The 22894-nt window shown below is 40.5% G+C and overlaps 1 protein-coding gene across 51 annotated transcripts in view; it reads right to left on the bottom strand.

The window, feature by feature from the left end:
• The window catches only part of AOPEP (aminopeptidase O (putative)), a 423526-nt gene that overhangs the window by 300612 nt on the left and 100020 nt on the right, over nucleotides 1-22894 (bottom strand). The gene's annotated exons all lie outside the window — the stretch shown is intronic.

The following is a 22894-nucleotide window of genomic DNA, read 5'->3' as shown; positions in this document are numbered from 1 at the left end:
CACCCCCGTGGAAAAACTGTCTTCCACAAAACAGGTCCCTGATGCCAAAAAGGTTGGGGACCACTGTTCTAAAGTATTTGAAGATATTACTGCAAAAAAAAAAAAAGAAAGAAAGAAAGAAAAAAAAGAAATGTTACCAAGTAAAAGGTAACATTTAACAATTGGGAATACTTCAAAAAATCTACTGCTCCCTGGAAAGTATATTAAGATAACAGTAATTACAATTTACTATGAATATTTATTGAGCCTTCACTATGTGCTGGGAACTGCTTTAAATGCCTTACATACATTATCTCATTTAACCCTAAAACCAATCTTTGGAGTCAGGATTATCAGTAAAACACTTAAAACTAAACTTCAATGAAAATATAAGTTTGTTTTTAAAGGACAAACTTTTCCAGAATTTCATGTTAAACAAAAATTTAAGCTACTCAATTCCTAGTTCTAAGACACACTTTCTCTCCTTACTATTCCTACCCCCTGCCCCATTTTAGCATTTCTGAACTCAGGATGCCTCTTAAAATATTTAGACTTGGCCGGGTGTGGTGGCTCACGCCTCTAATCCCAGCATTTTGGGAGGCCGAGGCGAGTGGATCGCCTGAGGTCAGGAGTTTGTGACCAGCGTGGCCAACATGGTAAAACCCGTCTCTACTAAAAATACCAAGAAAATTAGCTGGGTGTGGTGATGCATGCCTGTAATCCCAGCTACGTGGGAGGCTGAGGCAGGAGAATCGCTTGAACCCAGGAAGTGGAGGCTGCAGTGCCATTGCACTCCAGCCTGGGTGACAAGGGCGAAACTCCATCTCAAAAAATAAAACAAAATAAAATGTTTAGACTTCACTATAATAATGCTTTCCCCTTTTACCTGGGCTATTAGCTTGGTAGGGCATTCACAGGAGAGGAAGTGCAGCAGTTACAACCATCTCCGAGTCAAGCTCCATGTTTTTTTTTTGTTTTTTTGTTTTTGGTTTGTTTGTTTGTTTGTTTGTTTGAGTGGGAATCTCCCTCTGTCACCCAGGCTGGGGTGCAGTGGCGTGATCTTGGCTCACTGCAACTTCTGCCTCCCGGGTTCAAGCGATTCTCCTGCTTCAGCCTCCCAAGTAGCTGGGACTACAGCATGCACCACCATGCCTGGCTAATTTTTTTTTTTTTTTTTTTTTTGAGACGGAGTCTCGCTCCGTCGCCCAGGCTGGAGTGCAGTGGTGTAATCTCAGCTCACTACAAGATCCGCCTCCCGGGTTCATGCCATTCTCCTGCCTCAGCCTCCTGAGTAGCTGGGACTCTAGGCACCTGCCACCATGCCCTGCTAATTTTTTGTATTTTTAGTACAGATGGGGTTTCACCGTGTTAGCCAGGATGGTCTCGACCTCCTGACCTTGTGACCCGCCCGCCTTGGCCTCCCAAAGTGCTGGGATGGATTACAGGTGTGAGCCACTGCACTGGCCCAAGATCCATGTTTTACTTATTAACCAAGTATATGCTGGTGAGATCCTCTCTTCCACAGAGGGCCTTAAAATGAGAATCTAATAAGTAACTGCAGTGTCACATTTCCCCTGATGCTGGTAGCCAAGTAATCCCCACTTTAGATTGTAGAAATTTTGTGAAATAGTGTGGACCTGAACATTAAAGCCTAAGTGATATGTCCCCAGTCCTGCAGGTGGTTTATCGCCAAGATTTCTCACTTTGCTTCAGTCCAAGGACCAAGTAAAGAACTAGAAATTCAAGAACACCATTTAAATCCTAGGTCTACCAACTGATTTTCTGGGTGCTATGAGCAGTGACTGAAATGCCCTGGACTCTCCTCCTTCATCTGTTAAAAGATATCAACAGTGCCTACAGAAGGTCTAAGGGTATTAAGAGTAACTAACAGGATTGTTGTGGTTCCAAAATACCTCACATTTTCTCCCACTCATATCTGTTTCCTCCCTTACTGCACACGAAGGCCTAAATCTCCCAACCCATTAATGATTCATCTTATTAAAGGAAATCAGCTGCTTGCCTGGCAGCTAACATAGTTCTGCTTCATGACTACTTGAATTAATTTGATTTTCTTCAATCATCTATAAGAATCTATTCAATTTCAGAAAAGTACGTGTTAACAACGTATTGACAGAATAAAGAAGTAGAGTTCACCTGGCCCTGGCAGCAGCCTCTGTGCCCCAGGTTTTCCCAACCAGCCCTGCCCCACTGGAGTTCCTGCTGCCTCCACATCCCACAGAAGATCAGGCTCTTCCCATAATTACTAGCCACCAGGGCTCCCCTCTGCCCAAGAATGAGATCCAAACTCCTTAGGTGAATGGAAGAGCTTCTCCACAATATCCATTCCCCACCCACCCTTCCAGCTTCACAGCCCATCATTTCCTCCTTGTACCCTGCACTGCAGGCATGGTGGGAGGGTGGGGATGTGTGGAGAGAGAGAGAGAGACAGAGACAGAGAGAGAGAGAGAGAGACAGAGAGAGTGTGTGTGTGTGTGTGTGTGTGTGTACAAAGGGAACCACCAAATCTACCAACCTCCCTGCAGCCACCTCCACATGTGCCTCCCCATCTTTGATAGTGGGTAAACCTTCTGTGTGCTCATCAAAGACCCACTTTACTCCTATTGTAGATCCCCACCCTCCCACCACCTCAATAAATATGGTCACTGCAATCATCCACTATCCGCTCCATTCTCATCAGCTTCATTCATTCATTCATTCATTCAGAGACAGAGTCTTGCTCTGTCACCCAGGCTGGAGAGCAGTGGCGCCATCCCTGGCTCACTGCAGCCTCAACCTTCTGGGCTGAAGTGATCCTCACACCTGAGCCTCCCAAGTAGCTGAGAACACATGTACACACCACCATCGCAAGCTAACTTTTTAAAATTTTTGTAAAGATGGAGTCTCACTTTGTTTTCCAAGATGATCTTGAACTCCTGGGTTCAAGCAATCCTCCCACCACCTCGGCCTTGGAAAGTGCTAGGATTACGGGCGTGAGCCACCATGCCCAGCCAGCTTCTTTCTCTTTGCCCAGGTTATTCTCTTCAGCACACAAATGTGCTCTGATAGACTGTTCCCTTAAAACATCCTCACTTGGCTTCACATCCTTCTCCAGCAATTTCCCTATTTCTTTAATTTTACAGTAGGACTCCCTGAAAGAGCTGCCTGTACTTGATGTCTCAACTTTCTTGCCCCACCTTCTCTCAACTCACTCCAGTTAAACTTCTTTTCCCAATATTCTATCACAATTGCCTTCTTCCAGGTCACCAGTGACCCCCACTGAACCAAATCCCACAGTCCACCCTCAGTCCTCATAACTTCCACTTCTCAGCAGCTGATATTCCTGACACCACAGCTCAGTCCGCACACCACTGATCTTCTTTCCACCTCCTTCCACGTTGTGCTTCTCCAGTTTCATGACGTCAAATACCATCTGTATCCTGAAGGCTCCGCAAATTCAGATCTCTAGTCATGGGCTGCCTCATGAACTCCAGCTGTATTTCCACTAGCCATTTCAGACTCAAATTTTTTTTTTTTTTTTAAGATGGAGTCTCGCTCTCATCGCCCAGGCTGGAGTGCAATGGCGCCATCTCAGCTCACTGCAACCTCCACCTCCCAGGTTCATGTGATTCTCCTGCTTCAGCCTCCCCAGTAGCTGGGGTTACAGGCACCCGACACCACGCCTGACTAATTCTTGTATTTTTAATAGAGATGGAGTTTTGCAATGTTGGCCAGGCTGGTCTCGAACTCCTGACCTCAGGTGATCCACCCCCACCTTGGCCTCCCAAAGTGCTGAAATTACAGGCGTGAGCCACTGCACCCGGCCCAGACTCAATACATTTAAAACCAACCTTGATTTTCTCCTACAACCTTATTCTTCCCCTGCCCAGCCCTCCCTCAACAAATGGCACCAAATCTTGAAATTGTTCTTGACCTCTTTTTCTCTCACATCTTAGACACAAACCACTCCAAAATCCCAACAGCTCTTCAAAATATCCCAAATTTGAACACTTCTCACTGTTACCAACCCTAGTCCAAGCTACCATTATCTCGCATGTAGATTTCTCTATTAGCTTTTTAACTTGTATGTCTGCTCTTCCCTGCCCCTTTCCTGTCCCGTTCCCCCAAAACGGGTATCCACCCAGCATGATCTTTTCAAGGCACACCTCAAATCGTGTTACTCCTTACTTAAAACCTTCAAATGGCTCCCCACAATTGCTCAGAATAAAAACCCTGTAAGGCCCCGTGGAATTGGGTCCTCAGCAACTTCTCCAGTTTTACTTCCTACCATTTTTTCCCTCGTTCATTCAACACCAGCAGCCTGGCCTTCCTGCAGTTCTCCCAGCTTGCAAAGTGCTTCCCACCTCGGGGGCTCTGCCCCACCTGACTCTGTGTCTTGTCTGTGCTGGAATACCACAGTTTCCTAAAGTCCCACCTGAACATCCCACAGAAACCAGCAGGGTTCCTTATTCCCAAGTTTCCTTTCTCTGCTTTATTTCTCTTCATAGTGCTTTCATTACCTAAGAACATATTAAATATTCATGCATCTGCCTATTTGTCTCCCCTAGCAGAACTCAAGTTCCATATGCAATGGGCTTTGTTCTGAGCACCTGGAATAGTGCTTGCACATAGTAGGTGTTCCATAAATATTTGTTAATTGATTGAATGAATAATTAAATTCTTGGACTTCATCTTTTTTTTCTGAAATGGTCACTTTTCTATTTCCACAAAGCACTCACTCAGGTAACTTGTACCCTGGCCTCACAGGTACCATACCATCCCACCTGAACCCCACTCCCACGGACAGCCCACATCCGGCCTGCTCCAGTCTCACAGCAACCCTAGGAACAGACCATCTGCCCCCTGAGACTATGAGTTCTTCCAGGGCACAGATTTTGGATTTGTCTGGTACCCCAGTGTCAAGAGTTTCTGGCACAAAGTGGCTATTCGATATGTGTCTGTGGATTTAAATAATATGCCAGCATGGGGAGGAAGGACAGGAAAGGTTGGTCAGTGGGTACACAGTTACAGTTAGACTGGAAGAGTAAGTTCTGGGTTCCACTATACAGTAGGGTGACTACAGCAAGTAACAATGTAGTATATATTTCAAGATAACTTTAAGAGAAGATTTTGAATGTTGTCACCACAAAGAAATGACAAATGCTTAAAGTGATGGACATGATAATTACTCCGATTTGACCATTATACTATGTATACATGCACTGAAACATCACATTGTACCACATAAATATGTACAATATTATGTATCAATTACAAATTTCTTTTCAAAGTAATTGGATTTTTTGCCTTTTTTTCTTAAAAGGGTATGGGGGGCTTCTCAAAAATTAAAACTACTAGTTAGTGACCAGCCTGGCCAACATGGTGAAACCCCATCTTTACCAAAAGCAGAAAAATTAGCTGGGCATGGTGGTGAGTGCCTGTAATCCCAGCTACTCGTGGGGCTGAAGAATAAGAATCAGTTGAACCTGGGAGATGGAGGTTGCAGTGAGCCGAGATCGCATCATTGTACTCCAGCTGGGCGACAGAGGGAGACTCTGCCTCAAAAAAACAGAACAAAACTAATAAATATCCTCCTTTAAGAAAATAAATGATATGCCAGGCATGACTGTGCAACTCCATGGAGAAAAATAAATAGCCCAGATATAGTCAGATGAAGTAATAACTTTACCTAAATTTAAAAATAAAAGATAGCAATATCTTTAAATAACTTACCAACAAAAAGATAGCAATAACTTAAAAAATAACACCAAGGCATACATGAGATGATGGGAAGGTATATTTGAGGGAAACCAAAAGTCAAGTGCAAATACTATAGTTTGGATTATGAGAGAAAAAACAATGAAACAGTACAATCTTTTCCTTTCTGAATAGTAATGGGGTATTCAAGAGGCAAAATCATTAGAGCAATAATAGATGAGATAAAAAGCGAGTTGGGTTAAATGGAATGAGTTTAATATCCACTAAAAACTTGGTTTCAAAGGCTCATGGGCATTCTATATCTGGTCCTCAACCTATCCAGGAGGCTGAAGAAGCCATATGGTAATAATAGCAAACTGACTGCTCAGCCTCTGGTTGAGCCTATTCTAGATGCCAGACACTGTGCCCAGCACTGAGGACATAATAAGACACAGTAGACCTGAGCTCCTGAGAACCAAGGCTCAGAGACACTGACACAGACCCAGCAAACTAAAGTACAAAAAGGTCAATAAGCACACACGGACTCTACAAGGGTTGGAGGCTGGAATTAACTCACTCTAGGTGATCAAAGACAGGCCACAAAGCATGACATTCCTGAAGTGGATTTTCAAGGATGAGTAGAAGCTTGCTAGGCAGCAGGAAAGTGGGGTGGGGAAACAGGAAGGGGAGGCTAGGTAAGGGAAACAAGATGTGAAAAGTGCCGAGGCCTGAGAAACCCTGGAGCACGGAGGAATCTGGATGGGAGAGAGATCAGCGTTTCTGCTGAGTGAACCAATACTAAAAGGTCTAATATTTGTGTCGTTAGAGTCCCAGAGAGAGAGAAAGGCTGTAGTACAGAAGAAAATATTTGAAGACATAGAGTCAAAAACCCCACAAAATTGGCAAAATACATAAACTTACATACCTAAGAAGATGAGCAAAGCTTAAACAATAAAGAAGTCAATTCCAAGACAAATCATAATTAAATACTGAGAACTAAAGACAAAGTAAAAATTCTTGAAAACAGTCACAGAAATCCTTCTACTACTTATAAGGGAAGAATAATTTGAATGATGGTGGATTTCAAAATAAAAACTTTGGAGGCCAAAGGAAAAAACATAATGTTTTTATTTTTTATTTTTATTAATTTTTATTGAGATGGTGAAATAAAGATATTGTCAAATGAATGTAAATTGAGATAATTTCTTGTCAACAAATCTTGCTCTAAAATAATTTCTAAAGAAAATTCTTTAAATAAAAGGAAAATGAAACCACAAAGAAACCTCAAACATCAGAAATGAAGAAAGAACAGAAATGGTAAATATCTGGGTAAGTAGATTATCTTTCTGTTATTCAGTTATTTAAAATGTGTTTGACAATTGAAAGCAAACATAGGATTGTCTGATGAGATTTTCAATCTTTGCAAATGTAATATATAAGACAACTATAACATAGAGGGAAAGGGGAAGGAGAGCCTTGGATAGACAACTCCATCCAATAACAGCAGAACAGACATTCTTTTTTATAAACTTAGTTTTGGTTTTATTTTGTTTGTTTGTTGTTGTTTTTCTTTTTTTGTAAGACGGAGTCTCGCTTTGTCCCCCAAGCTGGAGTAAGTGGCACAATCTCGGCTCACTGCAAACTCTGCCTCCCAGGTTCAAGCAATTCTCCTGCCTCAGCCTCCCGAGTAGCTGGGACTACAGGTGCACGCCATCATGCCCAGCTAATTTTTGTATTTTTAGTAGACACAGGGTTTCACCATGTTGACCAGGCTGGTCTCGAACTCCTGACCTCAAGTGATCCTCCCACCTAGGCCTCCCGAAGTGCTGGGATTACAGGTGTGAGACACCACACCTGGCTTCTTGTTTTCTTTTTGTTTGTTTTTTAGAGACAAGGTCTTGCTCTGTCACCCAAGCTGGAGTTCAGCGGCACAACCATAGCTCATTGCAGCCTTGAACTCCTAGGCTCAAGTGATCCTCTCACCTCAGCCTCCTAAGTAGCTGGGACCACAGGCATGTGCCACCACACGCAGCTAATTTTTAAAAATTTTTGTAGAGACAGGGTCTCGCTTTGTTGCCCTGGCTGGTCTCAAACTCCTGGGTTCAAGCAGTCCTCCTGCCTTGACCTCCCAAAATGTTGGGATTACAGGTGTGAGTCACTGTGCCCAGCTAGGAGTAGATATTCTTTTAAAGTACACATGGAACATTCACCAAGATACACCATATCCTGAGACAAAACTCTTAAATTAAAAAAAGAAAATAATTTAAATCACAAAAAAAGTGTCCTTTGACGTAAGTGAATTAACTAAAAATCAATAATAGAAAGGTAATAGGAGCATCTCCCAACAACTGCAACTCAAACAACACACATCTAAACAGTCCATGGATCAAAGAGAAAGTCCCAAAGAAAATTAGAAGGCATCAAAGTGAATAAAAACGGAACATAATGTATCAAAATGTGTGGAGTGGCCAGGCACGTTGGCTCACATCTGTAATCCCAGCACTTTGGGAGGCCAAGGCAGGCGGATCACCTGAGGTTAGGAGTTCAAGACCAGCCTGGATAACACGGTGAAACCCCATCTCTACTAAAAATACAAAAAAATTAGCCAAGCATCGTGGCACACGCCTGTAGTCCCAGCTACTCAGGAGGCTGAGGCAGGAGAGTTACTTGAACGCAGGAGGGGGAGCCTGCAGTAAGCTGAGATCGCACCATTGCAATCTAGCCTGGGCGACAGAGTGAGACTCCGTCTCAAAAAAAAAAAAAAAAAAAATTGTGTGGAGCACAGCTAAAGCAGTGCTTAAAGGAGATTTATGTCATTCAGTGCTTGTTACAATAGAACAAAGGTCTCAAATCAATAAGCTAAGTTGCTACCTTAAGAAACTGGAAAAAGAAGGGCAAAATAAATTCCAAAGCAAGTAGAGGAAGGAAATAATAAAAGTAAGATCAGGAATCTATTAAACTGTAAGCAAGAAAAACAACAGAGAAAAATCAATGAAACCAAAAGATGATTCTTTGAAAAGATCAATAAAAGTGACAAACCTCTAGCCAGATGGACAAAGAAACAAAGAGAAAAAGAACAACTTACCAACATCAGGAATGAAATCATCACTAAAAACCATGAAGACATTTAAAAAAATGGGGAATACAATGAACAACTCTATACAGATAAATTCAACAACTTAGATTAAAAAAAAAATGCATGAATACTATAAACTTCCAAAACTCTCCCAGGATGAAAGAGACAGCATAAATAGTCCTAGAAATTTAATGAAATTAAATCTGTAGTTAAAAACCTTCTGAAAAGGAAATCTCTAGGCCCAGGTTTCACATGTGAATTATATCAAACATTTAAAGAAGAAATAATACCAATTCTACACAATCTCTTCCAGAAAACATTCTCTTCTAGAAGGGAATACTTCCAAACTCAGTTTATAAGGCCAGAATTACCCTGATATTAACACCAGTCAAGAGTACAGGAAAAGAAAACTGCAGGCCAATATCCCTCATGAACACAGATGCAAAAATACTCAACAAAATATTAGCAAATTAAATCCAACAATATATAAGAAGAATAATACATCAGAATCAAATGTGATTTTATCATGGCAATGGAAAGCTGGTTCAATATTTGAAAATCAACCACTGTAATCCAACATATTGACAGCCTAAAAAAGAAAAATCATAGATCCTGTCAATTAATACAGAAAAAGCATCTAACAAAACTCAACACCCATTCATGATAAAATTTCTCAGTGAATTAGGAGTAGAAGGGACTGTCCTCAACCTGGAAAGGACATTTACAAAAACCTACAGCTCATGTCATACTTAATGGTGACAGATCAAACACTTTCTCAATAAGATGAAGAAAAAGAGGCCAGACGAGGTGGCTCACACCTGTAATCCCAGCACTTTGAGAGGCCAACACAGGAAGATTGCTTAAGCCCAGGAGTTCAAGATCAGCTTGGACAACATAGCAAGGCACCAATTCTACAAAAAATTTAAAATGTTAGCCAGGTGTGGTGGGGTGCTTATAGCACCAGCTACTTGGGAAGCTGAGGTGGGAGGATCAATGGGGCCCAGGAGGTTGACACTGTAGTGAGCTATCATTGTACCACTGCACTCCAGCCTGAGCGACAGAGTGAGACCCTGTCTCAAAAAAAAGATCAGGAAGAAGAAAAAGATGTCCACTCTTACCACTCCTGTCCACATCATATTGTAAGTCCTAAGAGTGCAATAAGGCAGGAAAAAGAAAAAGTCATATAGATTAGAAAGAAACAAATAAAACTGTCCCTATTCACTGACTCACAGAATAAATGAGAAATAAAATGACTGGATACAAATCACCCACAAAATGAATCATATTTCTATATACTAGTTATGAAAATGAAACTAAAATACAAAAAGAATACCACTTATAGGCCGGGTGTAGTGGCTCACAGCTGTAATCCCAGCACTTTGGGAGGCTGAGATGGGCAGATCATGAGGTCAAGAGATCAAGACCATCCTGGCCAACATAGTGAAACCCCATCTCTAGTAAGAATACAAAAATTAGGCTGGGCGGGTTGGCTCACGCCTATAATCCCAGCCACTTTGGGAGGCCGAGGTGGGCGGATCACATGGTCAGGAGATCGAGACCAACCTGGCTAACATGTGAAACCCCGTCTCTACCAAAAAAAAATACAAAAAATTAGCCGGGTGTGGTGGTGGGCGCCTGTAGTCCCACCTACTCGGGAGGCTGAGGCAGGAGAATGGCGTGAACCCGGGAGGCAGGGCTTTCAGTGAGCCGAAATCGCGCCACTGCACTCCAGCCTGAGTGACAGAGTGAGACTCCCTCTCAAAAAAAAAAAAAAAGAATACAAAAATTAGGTGGGTGTGGTGGCGCACGCCTGTAGTCCCACCTACTCGGGAGGCTGAGGCAGGAAAACAGCTTGAACCCAGGAGGCAGCGGTTGCAGTGAGCCGAGATTGCGCCACTGCACTCCAGCCTGGCACAGAGTGAGATTCCATCTCAAAAAAAAAAAAAAAAAAAAAGAATAGCATTTATAGTGATTAATTATAGTAATTCCAAAAAAAGTGAAATACTTAGGTATCAATCTGGTAAAATACATACAGGACCTCTATGTTGTAAATTACAAAACACTGATGAGAAAAACAATAGAACCTCTAAATAAATGGAGAAACATATTTGTGGATCAAAAGATTCAAAGTAAGAACCATCATCTGGAAGAGACACTGGGAATAACCATGGTCAAGATGTCAACTCTTTCCAAATTTATCTCAAGATTTAATGAAAATCTGAACCAAATCCCAGCATAATTTTTTGGTAGATATACACAAGTGAATTCTAAAATTTATATGAAAAGGCAAAAGACCCAGAACAAAACAATTTTTAAAAGAACAATAAAGTTGGAGGAATCAAATCAGCCAATATTGAGATTTACTAGAAAGCTTCAGTGATCAAATCAGATGTGTTATTATAGAAGAGAGAGACAGAAATCAATGGAAGAGATGAAAACATCCAGAAATAGACCCACACAAGCATGGTCACTGATTTTTGATAAAGATGCTAAGGCAATTCAATGGAGAAAGAGTAGTGTTTCAACAAATAATGTTAAAACATTATTGGGTTTTTTGGCCAGGCACAGTGGCTCACGCCTGTAACCCACCAATTTGGGAGGCCGAGGCAGGCAGATCACAAGGTCAGGAGATCAAGACCAGCCTGGCTAATGCAGTGAAACCCCATCTCTACTAAAAATACAAAAAATGAGCCAGGCATGGGTGGCGGGTGCCTGTAGTCCCAGCTACTCGGGAGGCTGAGGCAGGAGAATGGCGTGAACCCAGGAGGCGGGGCTTGCAGTGAGCCGAGACTGCACCACTGCACTCCAGCCTGGGAGACAGAGCAAGACTCCGTCAAAAAAAAAAATTACTGGGTTTTCTAGATATACAATCATGTCATCAGCAAACAGTGACAATTTGATTTCCTCTTTACCAATTTGGATGACCTTTATTTCATTCCCTTGTCTGATTGCTATGACCAGAACTTCCAGTACTATGCTGAATAGAAGTGGTGAGAGTGGGCATCCTTATCTTATTTCAGTTCTCAGAGAGAAAGCTTTCAACTTTTTCTCATTCAGTATTACGTCGGCTGTGGGTTTGTCATAGATGGCTTTTATTTACATTGGGGTATGTCCCTCGTATGCCAATTTTGTTGAGAGTTTTAATCACAAATGAATGCTGGATTTTGTCAAATGCTTATTCTGCATCTATTGAGATGATCATGTGATTTTTGTTTTTAATTCTGTTTATATAGTGTATCACATTTATTGACTTGCGTATGTTAAACCATCCTTGCATTACTGGTATGAAACCCGCTTGACCATGGTGGATTATCTTTCTGATATGCCATTGGATTCAGTTAGCCAGTATTCTGTTAAGGATTTTTCTATCTATGTTCATCAGGGATACTGAACTACAGATCAATATCTTTTTTTGTTATGTCCTTTCCTGGTTTTGGTATTAGGGTGATACTGGCTTCATAGAATCATGCAGAGAGGATTCCCTCTTTTTTTGTATTGTGGAATAATGTCACTAGGATTGGTACCAATTCTTCTTTGAAGTCTGATAGAGTTCGGCTGTGAATCTGTCCAGTCCTGGACTTTTTTTGTTGGTAATTTTTTTTATTACCATTTCAATCTCACTGCTTGTTATTGTTCTGTTCAGAGTTTCTAATTCTTCCTGATTGAAGCTAGGAGAGTTGTATATTCCTAGGAATTTATCCATCTCCTCTGTTTTCTAGTTTATGTGTGTTAAGGTGTTCACAGTAGCCTTGAATGATCTTTTGTATTTCTGTGGTGTTGGTTGTAACATCTCCCATTTCATTTCTAATTGAGCCTATTTGGATCTTCTCTCTTCTTTTCTTGGTTAATCTTGCTAATGGTCTATCAATTTTTTTATCTTTTCAAAGAACCAGCTTTTGTTTCATTTAAAATTCATAAAAAATTTTTTTAAAAAATAATTAGACAAGCATAGGCAAAAAAAATGAACCTTGAACTAATCCTCGCACCATACAAAATATTTATCTCAAAATGACATTAGTTCTAATTATAAAGCATACAACTGTAACATTTTTGTAAAAACATAGTAGAAAATCTCTGTGATCTGGAGTTAGACAAAGAATTCCTACCCATAACACCAAAACCACAATCTATGAAAGAAAAGATTGATAAATTGTACTTCATCAAAACTGAAATTACTTGCTCTATGAGAGATACTGTTAAAGGAATGAAAAGGCAAGCTACAGGCTGGGAGAAAATATTTGCAAATCATACATCTGACAAAGGATTCTATCTAAAATACATAATGGAACTCTCAAAACTCAACAGCAAGAAAACAACCCAATTAATAATGTGCATAAATGACCTGAACAGATATGATGCCAAAGAAAGTAAGCATATGAAGAAATGTTCAATATCATTAACTATTAGGGAAACACAATGAGAAACTACAATGAGATACCCCTAAATACCTAATAGAATGACTAAAATTTTAAAAACTAATAATACCAAGCACTAGCCAGGATGCAGAGCAAGGAAAACTCTTGCTCACTGCTGATAGGAATGCAGTATTATAAAGCCAATTTGCTAGGAAATTTCTTAAATATATACATACCATATGATCCAGCAATCCCTCTCCCAGATATTTACTCTAGAGAAGTAAAAATTTATGTTCACACAAAAGCCTGTGCTATGACTGTTTATAGGAGCTCTATGTATGTCTTAAGTTACATGGCAATTACATTTTCCTTGGAAAAGGTGCATGTGCTTGTACACGTGTATACACACACACACACACACACACAAGCAGGAAACAAAAATCAACCAAATTCAGGCAATCTGATCAAGGTCCTTTCTTCTGTAGGTAAGCATCCCTACCCTGTACCACTGCACCTCAGACCTCAAGATCCCTTGCTTAGGGATTGACTAGTGATTTGGGTTAGAGGTATGGAGAGGTATAGGGATAGAACAAAGACAAAAACAAAGAGCGGTAGAAGAATCTAGAAAACCCACTGAAACATCAATCAGTTGATCAAAGGAGCCTTTGAACCATGGTCTGGAAGAGACACTGGGAACAGCCATAATAAAGAAATACCTTGGCCCTACTGCACTCCCTCCACTCACCCACTCTTTGGAATTTTGCATAGATACCACTTCAACTGAAGCAAAAAGAAAAACCGTTCAGGCATTTGCCTATAAGCTGTTAAAGTCTTTGCTCTGGTCTGGTTTAAACAGAAAGAGACAGAGCAAGATTTCAACATAAACAGGAGTCTCAATGCATTTCTCAGAAAGGCCTTGCACCCTTGTACTAATTTAAGTCACTGGGACGTGCAGGAAACCAGTTTGAGACAATGAGAGCAAGTTCAACTTCTTTTAAAGGAGAAAAAAATAGAGGTTATTATTTGATGGTTGCAAATTTTCTGTATCCCTTTCCATCCATCACTAGATTCTCCCCACTGTTCTGTTTCTAGTGATATGCAGAATAAAAGAAAATACTGGCCAAGGTTAGGAAGAGACAGACCAGGGGGATCACAGGTCGGACAACAGATGAGCCAAAGCAAAACCTTGACCACATCTATCCTTAGTACAGAGTCAAAGTACTCATTGTTTTGGGGAAAAAATTACTCCTGTACATCCTGTGGTGGCCTCCCCTAGCTAGACTCTTGTCCAACCAATCTATTCTGCCCACTTACGCACAATGAAATGCACTAATGGGGGGAAGGGAAAGTTATTCCAAAACAATACCCCGAAAAGACTGTCCTTTCCCCCTATGAAATAACTTAGCATTTCTGTTGAAAAGCAAATGACCATACATGTGTGGGTCTACTTCGACACTCTACACTCCTTATCCTATTACCATGCCTCTTCCTTTCTCAGGTACCCATAAGGATTATTCAATGTCTCTCAGATGAAGTATAAATTTCCCATTCTGACATTTGAATTACTTCAATCTAACAACAGAGTTTGTCTCCCTCAAAAAAATATTTCGGTATATAGCTCTAAAAGATAAAAAATCTTTTTTGTTTTATTGTTTGTATGTATGTATGTATGTATGTATGTATGTATGTATGTATGCATGCATGCATGCATGCATTTAGAGACAGTCTCGCTCTGTTGCCCAGGCTGAAGTGCAATGGTGCAATCTCTGTTCACTGCAGCCTCTGCCTCCCAGGTTCAAGCGATTCTCCTGCCTCAGCCTCCCGAGTAGCTGGGACTACAGGTGCACGTCACCACAGTGGGCTAATTTTTTGATTTTTAGTAGAGAAAAGGTTTCGCCATGTTACCCACAATGATCTGGAACTACTGGCCTCAAGCGATTCACCTGCCTCAGACTCCCAAAGTGCCAGGATTACAGGCATGAGCCACCAGGCTCTTTTTTAAACAAAGACTCTTTTTTAAACAAAACCACAATACCATTCTTGTACCTTAAATAATATAATAATTCCTTAATATCACTAACTATCCAGTCAGTGTTCAACTTCTTGATAAGCTCATAAATGTTTGTTTATATTTGGTTCATCCAAATTGGGATCTAAATAAGGCCCACACGCTGTAATTGGTTGGTATTTCTCTAAATTTCTTTTCAGTTCTCCCAATCTCTCTCTCTTTTCCTTGCAATGTATCTTTTGAAGAAACCACGTTGTTTATCTTACAGAGCCTAAGATTGCCTGGATTTTGCTCACTGTACTCCTGTGGTATCATTTAATTTGTTCCTCTGTACTTCCTGTAAATTGGTAAGCAGATATTCCTGATTGCCTATCAGATATTTCTATCCTCTGTATTCCGGTAGTGTCATTTAATTTGTTTCTCTGTCCTCTTTACTTCCTGTAAGCTGGTAATCAGATCTCGGGGCTTGATCAGATTCAGGTTGGTGTAACTTGGGCAACCTGGGCAAGAGTATTTCAACAGGGTTGTTATGTACTCCCATTAGGAAACACAAAATGATCATTGCCTAGATCCATTAATGATTTACGAGTTGCAAAAAATAATACTCTCATTCTACCATTACTTAATTTATTAGCTACATTCTATAAAGACAAACTCCCCTTCTCAACGATTTATGCTGAGATGCTGTATACAGGAAGACAAAATAAATGCCTGAGTCTCTTTATTTACCAGTTTTCAAAATAATGAGTTAATTCCCTGGTATCCTTAAAAGGTGGCCAATGATACAAGTTTATTTTTATTATTATGAACTCATGGACTTGATGCGTTTCAAACCATTGCAGTTATCTTATTAATGCTCAAATTGTCCCAGTAGAAACTTCAATTTGGTTCCTGAGTCCCTTGGTTGTGGCTCTAATAATCTTCAGTAGCTTCTTTGCTTCCTGGTGTAAGAAACTTCAGGCACAGCCAGGCGCGGTGGCTCACACCTGTAATCCCAGCACTTTGGGAGGCTAAGGCGGGTGCATCACCTGAGGTCAGGAGTTCAAGACCAGCCTGACCAACACAGTGAAACTCTGTCTCTACTAAAAATACAAAATTAGCTGAGTGTGGTGGCACACACCTGTAATCCCAGCTACTTGGGAGGCTGAGGCAGGAGAATCACTTGAACCTAGGAGGCAAAGGTTGCCGTGAGCTGAGATCATGCCATTGCACTCCAGTGTGGAAAACGAGCAAAACTCCATCTCAAAAAAAAAAAAAAAAAAAAAGGACGGGTGTGGTGGCTCATGCTTGTAATCCTAGCAGTTTGGGAGGCAGAGGCGGGTGGATCACTTTAGGTCAGGAGTTCAAGACCAGCCTGGCCAACATGGTGAAACCCCATCTCTACTCAAAACACAAAAATTAGCAGGGCATGGTGGCACGCACCTATAATCCCAGCTGCTCAGGAGGCTGAGGCAGCAGAATCGCTTGAACCCAGGAGGCGGAGTCTGCAGTGAGCAGAGATCATGTGCCACTGCACTCCCGCCTGGGCAACAGAGCGAGACTCTGTCACCAAAAAAAAAAAAAAAAATCAAATTTACAAAGCAAAGTATACTGAGGAGAAGTCTAACTCTTACTATCTGTACCCCCGACCTTTTCCCCCGCTTTCTTCTACTATAGGTAACCACTTAAAATTTTTTTATCATTTAAATTTCCATTGTTTTTATAAAAGTCCAATGGAATTGACATTTAACATATTGAATAAACTCCACCTTGCTCTTTTTACTTAACAAGACATCCTGAAGATTACCACAGTCTTAGAGATAGTGAACATTCATTTTTATAGCTATAGTGCTGCATTGTGTGGATATCCCAGTTTCTTTAAACTGGCACAAACTGATGGGCATCTGGGTTGTTTCTAGTCTTTTGCTATGCCAAAAAACAACTGTGTGTATATGTGCATATTTTCACATTTTTGCCAATGTATCCTTAGAATAAATTCATAAGATTTGGAGTCAAAGTCTATCTTGTTTTGCTAGATACTGTAAACTCCTTCCCATGGAGGTGAAGCCCCCTGCATTGACGCTTCCCCTGCAACTCCAAGAGAGTACGTTGTCAAACTCTTGGATGTCTGCCAACCTCATAGGTAAGAAATGATATCTCAGTGAAGTTTTAATTTGTATTTCTCCTATGATAAGAAAAGTTGAACATCTTTTCATAAATTTAAGAGACAGTTGCATCTCTTTTCCTGTGAACTGTTTGTTCTTATCTCTAGCTCATTTTTCTATATGACTGTTGTTTTTTCTATTCTGTTTTCAGAAGCTCATATTTGTCTGTGTTATAAATTAGGAATATTTTTTCCCAATGAGTCATTTGTTTTGCTTTTTTACATGCAAAAATATTTTGTATTCATGTGTCTAATATATCAATCTTTCCTTCTATTGGTTCTGGGTTTTAAAACCAGAAGTTTTCTCCACTTTCAGATTAAAAATAAATTCACCCATTGGCTCAACACAACATTTTTAATGATCATCACCTTTTCCCCTTCAGTCCCTTGGAGAATATACAAAAGCAGCCTCCTGTCCAGTCAGTTCACTTAATGGAAGCAGTCCACCTCTCATTTTAAAAATTAAACACCTTTGTTTGTGTCCTCTCTGATTTCCTTGAGCAGTGGTTTGTAGTTCTCCTTGAGGAAATCCTTCACTTCCCTTGTTAGCTGTATTTCCAGGTATTTTTTCTCTTTGTAGCACTTGGGAATAAGAGTTCATTCAAGAAGAACTACAAAACCCTGCTCAAGGAAATCAGAGAAGACACAAACAAATGGAAAAACATTCCATGATCATGGATAGGAAGAATCAATATTGTGAAGATGGCCATACTGACCAAAGTAATTTATAGATTCAATGCTGTTTTCATTCAACTACCACTGACATTCTTCACAGAATTAGAAATAACTATTTTAAAATTCATATGAAACCAAAAAAGAGCCTATATAGCCAAGACAATCCTAAGCAAAAGGAAGAAAGCTGGGAGCATCCCACTACCCAACTTCAAACTACACTACAAGGCTACAGTAACCAAAACAGCATGGTACTTGTACAAAAACAGACACACAGACCAATAGAACAGAACAGATAACTCGGAAATAAGACCACACACCTACAACCATTTGACCTTTGGCAAACCTGACAAAAACAAGCAATGGGGAAAGGATTCCCTATTTAATAAATGGTGCTGGGAGAACTGGCTACCCATATGCAGAAAATTGAAACTGGAACCCCTTCCTTAACATCTTATAAAAAAATTAACATAAGATGGGTTAAAGACTTAAATGTAAAACCCAAAACTATAAAAATCCTAGAAGAAAATCAAGGCAATACCATTCAGGGCACAGGCACAGGCAAAGATTTCATGACAAAAATGCCAAAAGCAATTGCAACAAAAGCAAAAACTGATATACGGGATCTAATTAAACTAAGGAGCTTCTGTACAGAAAAATAAACTATCAACAGAGTAAACACACAACGTAAAGAATGGGAAAAAAATTTTGCAATCTATCCATCTGACAAAGGTCTAATATCCAGAATCTACAAGGAACTTAAACAAATTTACAAGAAAAAAATAAACAACCCCATTAAAAAGTGGGTGAAGGACATGAACAGACACTTCTCAAGAGAGGACATCTGTGCAGCCAACAAACATGAAAAAAAGCTCAACATCACTGGTCATTAGAGAAATGCAAATCAAAACCACAACAAGATACCATCTCATACCAGTCAAAATGGCAATTATTGAAAAGTCAAGAAACAACAGATGCTGGCAAGGTTGCAAAGAAAAAAAGAATGCTTTTACACTTGGTGAGAGTGTAAATTATTTCAACCATCGTGGAAGACAGTGTGGCCATTCCTCAAAGATCCAGAAGCAGAAATACCATTCGACCCAAATAGGATGTAAGCAATACCATTACAGGGTATATACCCAAAGGAATATAAATCATTTTATTATAAAGATACATGCATGTGTATGTTCATTGCAGCACTATTCACAATAGCAAAGACATGAAATCAACCCAGATGTCCATGAAAGATAAGCTGGATAAAGAAAATGTGGTACATATACACCATGGAATACTATGCAGGCATAAAATAAACAAGATCATGTCCTTTGCAGGGACATGGATGGAGCTGGAAGCCATTATCATCAGCAAACCAACACAGGAACAGAAAACCAAACACCACATGTTCTCACTTATAAGTGAAAGTTGAATGATGAGAAGATATGGACACATGGTGGGGAAACCACACACACTGGAGTCTGTCACGGGGAGCAGGGAGAGGGAGAGCATCAGGGAGAATAGTTAATGCATGCTGGGCTTAATACCTAGGTGATGGGTTGATCTGTGCAGTAAACCACCATGGCACACGTTTACCTATGTAACAAACCTGCACATCCTGCACATGTACCCTAGAACTTAAAAGTTGAATAAATACATAAATAAATAAATAATAAAAATTAAACACCTGATGTAGTTCATGCAGTCACTCTCCTAATTTTGTTCTTTCACACACATGAACCCTTAGATCATGCAGGCAAAGCACAGAGATAGGTGTGAATATGTCATTGTGTTTCTCCTTCACAGAACTCCCTTGGGCCACCTGTAGTCATGACGTCAGATGGTAACTAAACCACCAATTGCTCCAAATGCCAAGAGAGCTAGAGTCAAGGCATTTGTTCCCTCCCTATTCAGGGAGTGAATGGCAAAGGAAATATAGGTGTAATGGGGTATTGGATTCTCCCCAGGGTTAACATATCTGACATGTGGCCAGGGTGAACATATCTGACATGTGGCCAGGGTGAGTGGAGGGGACTCACAAGGGTGTTTTGTGGGAGCTTTTATGAAACAGAGAATTTCGGTAGAAAAAGCAGCTGCAGCCAGCTGCTGAGGGAAACTGCCCCGTACCCTGGCATCATGGGCGTGGCCTGTTTGTTTTGTGAAGTACATCCAACTTAAGAAAGGGAGAAAAGTTTCTTACTTCTCTTTCCAGAGATATATCATGTTTCCCATCAAAACATTTCTTTGTCAAGATGCTTTTGGAAGAATGACTTCCACAACTGCAGTTGGGTATGTGGTTAGACAATGGCTTCACTTCTTTGGATCTCAAACTTTTAAGGCCACAGAAAAGGCCTGAAATTTTTCCACATTGAAAATAAATAGGTATTTGATAATCATCTAAGAGGAAATAATAAACAGGCCTAGCTAGCTTTTTTATATGTATTTATTATATGTAATTATGTGTGTGTGTGCGTGTGCGTGTGTGTGTGTGTGTGTAAACTGGTTTATATCTTGAAACTTAGTGGCCAGGCACAGTGGCTCATGCCTGTAATTCCAGCACTTTGGGAGGCCAAGGCGGGCAGATCACTTGAGGTCAGGAGTTCGAGACTAGCCTGGCCAACATGGTGAAACCCCGCCTCTAATAAAAATACAAAAATTAGCCAGGTGTGGTGCCCCGCGCCTGTAATCCCAGCTACTTGGGAGGCTGAGGCAGGAGAATCACCTGAACCCGGGAGGCAGAGGTTGCAGTGAGTCGAGATTGGGCCACTGCACTCCAGCCTGGACAACAGAGCAAGCCTCCATCTCAAAAAAAAAAACAGTAAGAAGAAATACAAATAAGATGTGAGAAATTATGTAAGAAATACATATAATAAGAAATATATATAAATAATGTGTTTATTATATAACTAAAGTATGTGATTTATATATATATATTGTGTGTGTGTATATATATATATTGTGTGTGTATATGTGTATAATTGGTCTGTTTGCTTTTTTAACAGGCAATCCAGGTAATTCTATGCAGTTTTCCTCATATTACACTTTTTGAAAAACTCTGCTCAAGAGCTGAATTCCTCCAAAAGTCTACCTTCTCAAATTTCTTGAAATGCTGTCTTTGCCCCCAGGTCCTGAGACACTATGACACTGATGACTGTTTTGGTGACTATTCTATCCCTGGCGTCCAGCACAATGTCTGGCATTTAATATGTACATAATATACATTTGATGAATTAAATAATAAAAATCTGGGATAAGTAGATATCCACAGGCAAAACACCCCTCCTCACACCTTACACAAAAATCAACTTAAAATGGATCAAAGACCTAAATATAAGAGCTAAAATCATAATAAATAAATCACTCTTAGCAGAAAACACAGGGAGAAATCTTTGTGACTTTGGAATAGGCAATGAATTCTTAAATATGACACCAAAAGCACAAGAAACTAAAGAACAAAGTAGATAAATTGGGCTTCATCAAATATAAAGACTTCTGTGCGTCAGAGGACACTATCAAGAAAATGAAGCCAGCCCACAGGGTGGGAGAAATAAACATCTATCGCAGCATTCTCCTCCACGCCTCCTATAAAAATATTCCCCGTGCTGACCACAACCACTGCTCCTCCTCCCTGCTTCCCTCGCCTTCTGCCTCTGGTCCTTTCTTTGCCATTACTTCTCCTCTTCTTTTTTTCTCTGTTCTCATCTGGTTCTCTCCCTTGTTCTTATTCTGTGTCCGGGAAATGCAAGTTATATTTCTGATTTTTATAAATGGGAATCTTTTTAAATAATATCACTAGAGAATCTGAGAGTTAAACAGCCTGGGCACCAGAGTCTACACTACAGCCTGCCTACTTCTGTACCCCTCTCTCTGGCTTATGAACAGGCACACACAAAGTAGGCCTTTGATCTTGAAAGCCTAGGGATCCCACTGGGACGAGGATAACTATTTATCTCTATTTGCTTTTTTCTGCTGGGGCCTGGTTTCTGGCTTGCTCAATGTCCTATTTGGACAAAGACCAGTCAGGTCAGGAAAAGATCACTCCACAGTTCCAGCCCTGAAAACATGCGGTAGGAGCCTCTAAACAGTTCCCATATAAATTTTAAAAGGGTCATCTTAGTACACTATCAGTGTAAGGAAATGTGTAGGAAGAAAAGACAGTCTATGTCCTCATGATAAGTTAGAGAAGAAACCAAATATGGAACATTCTCTTATGAATTTCTTCCCATACACTCACCCAAGACAACAAACATTTTAGAATGTTCTAAGAAACTATCTGGTGGCTTCAGTGGACGAAAATGTAAAGGGTTTGAGGCTCAAAGACCAAGATTTTCAAATCCTATGACCCAAGCCTCACTTTCCTCATCTGTAAAGTCAAGATAAAAACTTACTTTACAGAGTTGTTAAAAAGATTTACTGATTTAATATGTGTAAATCACAGGGCATGGTTCCTAGAATGTGGTTAAGCACTTCAATTTTGGTAGAAATACCACCATCTCTCTACTAATGACTCTGGGGTTCCAGAGCTCCAGCTCACCGTGTTCTTTGCTCCTAAACGAGAAGCCACAGAAAAGAAGAGAAGCTGTTCTCTGGCTCTAAAATGGAGACCAGCTTCTGAAAAGGGGGCATGTATCCATCTCTTCCACAAACCAAATTTTATCATGCATTGGTAGACAAGATCTACCAAAAGCCAGTTGCAAGTTCCACTGGGGCATGTTATGTAGAGGGAAGGGACAATGGCAGATTCCCTAAGCTGCTGCTTTCTGCAAAGATGAACAATGACTTGTGCAAACAGCTCAGGCAGGCAGGCAGAAATCTATAGCCCCAACTGTTGCCATGACCACTCATCACCACTGTCACCTCCCCCACTTCCACTGTACTGCCACCACTACCCTTGTGGCCATCACCACCTCCACTAATATCATCAGCTCCATCACCATGACCAATACCTCTTCTCCTTCCCCACATTACAACCA

The sequence above is a fragment of the Homo sapiens genome, chromosome 9 (assembly GCF_000001405.40).
Source record: "Homo sapiens chromosome 9, GRCh38.p14 Primary Assembly".
NCBI classification, from domain to species: domain Eukaryota; kingdom Metazoa; phylum Chordata; class Mammalia; order Primates; family Hominidae; genus Homo; species Homo sapiens.
The sequence above is the reverse complement of the archived record's forward strand: the minus strand, read 5'-3'. Positions and strand labels throughout refer to the sequence as shown.